General features: G+C 38.9%; 1 pseudogene; it reads left to right on the top strand.

Moving 5' to 3' along the window:
* Window positions 407–1,399, top strand: MRPS18BP2 (mitochondrial ribosomal protein S18B pseudogene 2; annotated as a pseudogene).
* The last annotated feature ends 3,857 nt before the right edge of the window (window positions 1,400–5,256 follow it).

Below are 5,256 nucleotides of genomic sequence, written 5' to 3' on the forward strand. Positions count from 1 at the left end.
CCAATCTTAGAAAGACTGTTATAGGTAATTTCTTTTTAATTGTAGGCAATTAAATCACATACAAAATTTCTTTTATAAATTTGTTTTCCCACAATCTTTATTGGGACTTAGACCATGAACAACATATTGATTTGTTTGTACTACTTCTTTTAAAATAATAAGTCATTTTACTTTAGGACAAAAATTTACCGTGTAAGATCTTCTCTCATACAAAATTATTTTCTTCTTTTTATAACCTTCCTTATCAAAAATATCTCTCTATATATATAATCCTTTTACTTCTCTGTCTCTCTCTCTCTGACTTACTGTTTTTAATCTTGTGTTATAAATAACTTCTAAATAATCTCCAAATTACAAAATAATATATATATATATATTTTTTTTTTCTCAATAAGAACACAACTTACCTGATCTGGGTTTAAGATGGTGATGCCCATATTAAACACCTACTAAGGCAGCTTCCTATCCTTTCTCTCTTCTGAAGTACAAATGGAGTTCAGGTTCCCCTCCAGACTCTTTCACCAAAGCTCCTTCTGAGAAAGATTCTTTGCCCCCAGTTCCCATTTCACTATATGAGAATGAACCCTGGAAATATCTGGAATCAGAAGAATACCAAGAACCATAGGGTTCTCATCCCAACTGGGTGGACTATTGCCACTACTACAAGGGTGATATACCCCCACAGCAGACTCAAAAGACATGTATGCATAGGAAAACAGTCGCTGGGAATCCCTGCCCCATCTGCCAAGGTCACAAGTTGCATGTTGACTTTAGGAATGTTAAGCTCTTGGAACAGTTTGTCAGTGCCCACACGGGTATTATCTTCCACGCTCCATACACAGGAGTCTGTATGAAGCAGCACAAGATGTTGACCCATGCCATCCAGAAAGCCAGGGATCATGGTCTCCTCAGTTACCACATCTCCCAAGTTGAACCCCGGGACCTTGATTTTAGTGCCTCTCATGGAGCTATGAGTACTTCTCTGCCAGTCCCCACCCTCGTCTCAGGTGAACCCTGGTACCTATGGTACAGCTGGAAACAGCCATCAGAGAAAGAACTGTCTCACCTTTGCCAGCTCTATCAGGATTATCTCTAAGAAGAGAGTGGCCCCCGCACCTGAGTCAATGCCCAAGATGCTTCCCACAACACCAGTGGAAGCCTCCTTCACTGAAGAGACAGGCCCCTAGAGTGCTCTGGAGTCATAGACTGGGAAGAGAGGCTGGGCCCAGAGGCTTATACCTGTAATAAGAGCACCAGTCTGAGGTGGGCAGATTGCTTGAGCCCAGGAGTTCAAGACCAGCCTGGACAACAAGGCAAAACCCTGTCTCTACCAAAAATTACAAAAATTAGCATGGTGGCTTGTGCCTGTAGTCCCAGGTACTTGGGAGACTGAGGTGGGAGGATGGCTTGACCCCTAGAGATGAAAGTTATAGTGAGCCAAGATCATGCCACTGCACTCCAGCCTGGTGACAGAGCAAGACCCCCTCAAAAAAAAAAATGTTTAAGAAAAAAAAAATACTGGGAAGAGACCCAGAGGGACTAGGAGGTAATGCCTAGATTTATATGATGGGATAGCACCCAGAAGAGTTATGTCTTTTATGGCCAAGGCAGATCCAGGAAAGAAATGAGTGTGCTGATAGGGATAAATCTGAAGCTGAGAGAGGGCAGTACAGAAGTGTATGGAAAACCCCAGCTCCTGTATATTGTAAATACATGGGCTGGGCTAAACCTTTTGCTGCTGTTTCAGAATTCTGCTACCTCAGCTTTTCTACAATTAAACTCTATCTCTAGTCAACAAAAATACCTCACAACTTACAGAAGTATATATTAATTAAAATTCTTATTCTTAGTTGCCTCAAATTTTAGTAAAAACCTGAGAAGCAAGAAATCCTGAATGGTTTTTAGATGTCAGCATTTTATAGGTGAAACCATTCCACGGTTTTTAGAAACATGTTTTTTCGTATTATAATCCCTTTTCATTGGAAATGACCCAGACATCTAGCAGGCATTGACTATTGAATTTAGAATAACTTTAAGATTTTAAATTACACAAAAAGCTTACCTACAAGTATTTATCCCTTTTATATGTATTTAATTCTTTCATTTTTAAGAGTTTATCTAGATTACTTTTGAAAACACACATATTAGAGAAAGCTAGTTATCATTTCAACTTAATTTGTTATTAACCATTTTTATAGCCTGTGAATATCAGGTGTTTACCTAAGAATGAAACTTAAAGTTAAATACATAGCTATTTTTGCCACTAACAAACAAGAATTTGCTGTTTTTATTGAACCAGCAATATTAAGTTAGTCTTATCTGTCAAACAAATTACACAAGATTATTTTTGGCTGGGTTTATAGTCTAACAGCATTTGTGCCAAACCCTGACATCTTAATCAGTAAACTCAGATAAGAATGTATGCTAATAATTTTCAAGGCTTTTTAATTTCAATTTTATTAAAAAAATAAAAGTTTTTATTTATCAAAAATTACTAAATTCATGTAAACTCAAAGAATATTTGGGCTTTTAAAATTTATGAGTATTCATTTACTTAGAAGCCATTTGGTAGCATGCTAGACATACCACATAGCATAGTACAAATGTATACACTTAAATACATTTAAGCATGTATACACACACACACACACACACACAAACATACCCTCACACAAGATCCAATGGCTTTTACCTTGAAATTTTAGCCATGAGATAGTAATATAAATTACCCATTTTAGAAAATATAGCTGAATCTAATTTTTTAAACAAAATTGGAACCTATTGACCTGGCTAAACTTTGTTTCCCCAGTACGTAATCCGAGGAAGGCTATGAATGAAAATTTGGGGAAAGTATTTTCTATGGCAGTTTATTTTAAAAACCCTGTTTTACTTTTTTGTTTTTTTCAGTCTCAAATGAGTTTCTAATGTTTTCATTTCAGTTAGACCATAAATAATGAGTCTTATCTCAGCACCAGCAGCTTAGTAACACCAGATTCAAAGCAGACAGAGGAGAAAAGAGAGGAAAACATAGAGCTTTAGAAGACTCTACTTAACCCTAAAGTTGCAGGTTAACCATTTGAACTCTAGATTTTCCTTATTGTGCACAAAACCAATATTGACCATTGTACCCAGCTGTCTCTGGTGCCTTCCTGAAGGCCAGCCAGGTGTCTCTGACACCCCGTCTCAGAGGGTCTCCCCTAGGCACTTTAGCCTCAGAATGGAGATTTCTTCTAATCCCTCAAAAGTGTTCCCTTCACCTCTCAGTCTCTGTATCATCCTCCTCAAATGCTCTGGTTCCTCTCACACTTTAGAGAACTCCCACAGGGCCCTCTACTGAGGATGGGACCATGGTCTGGTGCAGGGCATCCTTGTGCACAGCCCTGATTTTGGGTGAGCATACCCACTGTGCTTAGCTTAGGGGGCCCTTCCCAGTACAGCTAGATAACCTTTGCCTGCCTGCTTATGATCTTACAACAATGATGTGTTACCTTCCCCAGAGCTGATCCCTGCACGGAAAGTCAAGACAAATGTGTGTTCATTACCAACTGATGCTGTCAGGTGCCAATTGTAGAGTCTCTAGGGTGGTAAGGGAGATTCCCAAGCAGATAGATTGATCATCTAGCCCAGGACCCCATGCTGGGTCACTAGTTTTGTTACTGACAAAGCCAGTACCCATAAAAACGGAGTCTTTCCCTGTTTGGTGTCATGAAGCCTTGACATAAAACTGAACATGAGCATCAAGCAGTAAAGGCTTTATTCAGTGTCCATAGAATTGAGAAGCAGGAACACGGCTTACAAATCAACTTCTTGACGAGTGAGGGATGAATGGTTTAAAATATATAATTTTTTTTTCTAATAAATGGGTTGAACATTAAAAGCGAGGGGAGTAATCCCTGTCTTTTCGGGCAAGGGCAGTGAACTTCCCAGAACCAGTAGTATCACCTTCCTTTTGGTCCTTTTATGACTTCTTCCAGTCATTGTCATGGCAATTGCTAACTGTCATGGTGCTGGTGGGAGTCCCATTTAGCAAGGAAATTAGATTATAATGAAGCTTGAGATCTTTTAAAAGTCATTTGATCAGCTATCTTGGTTCTAACCAGTCTCAACTGGTCTGATTACAAAAGGAATTTTTTTACAGCAGGCATCCTGATTTTTAAGGATAAGCAGAGTTAGGGTGGGGCAGAAATTCAGCTCTATCATGTAGTGATTACACTGGGTAACAGTAGGTCTCCTAAGGCATCAACTATATGATATGAAGTTAGTCACTTCAGTGGCTTCAGAAAAGTTTCCTTAGTACCAGGTATTTTCTACATTGCTTCTTTCTGCATGAAATTAGTTCTAAAAGTAGTTGTTAATTTCTTTAGCCTATATAATATTTTTTGCCTAAAATACATGCACCCTGAAAAAGAAAAACTGTCAACTTTTTTGGTCATTACAGCTTGTTTGTTTTCCAAAATAATCAACCTTCAATAAACCTTCCCGAGCGGAGAGATTGACCATCTAGCCCAGGGCCCCACGCTGGGTCACTAGTTTTGTTGGCTCATTAAATGCCAGATGTGGTATGAGGCTGCAGGCTTATCAAGGTGAATAAAGTACTGAACATGTATGATCTCAAGAAAGTCTGCAATTCAGAAACGTCAGAAAATAAACAGATTATTTTAATGCAACTTGACATGTGCATTGACAGAGATTTGCCCAGGGTCCTGGTTGAAGGTCACCAGAGAGGAATCCTGAAATACAATTAGGGTTAATCTGTTGAAGGCAAAAGGTGGATATACTGTTTCAGACAGAAAGAGCTATGTCTACAATGGGTAAGAGGTTAGAAAGAGCGCAAAACACACTGGAAATTGCAGGGGACAATAGGCCTGGGACAGGGAGTCTGAGGGAGACAGGAAGAGGCCAGAGGGAGGTTGGGGCCATAGGCAGTGAGAAGTATGATCATATTATATTTATAAAATCATTTTTCCAAATCAGAATTCCTTCAGTAGGATAGAGAGTTTGCTTGGAAGGAATTGTAAGTTGGAACACAAGAGTCAGAAACTGTAGGAGAATTCTGTTTTTTTATTCATAGTTAACAACACATTGAAAACATCACCATTTGAATCTATGTGAATTATCCTTTCCCTAATTTCAAAGGTATCTACTGAGGACTAAGCTCTGACTTTTTTATCTTGCCCAAATTCCTATCTAAGAGGTCCAGGGAGTCATGCCCTACAAACCATAAATTCCCATCAGATGGGTTTTATTTAACCCTAT

Source organism: Homo sapiens, chromosome 2, assembly GCF_000001405.40.
Source record: "Homo sapiens chromosome 2, GRCh38.p14 Primary Assembly".
Lineage (NCBI taxonomy): Eukaryota > Metazoa > Chordata > Mammalia > Primates > Hominidae > Homo > Homo sapiens.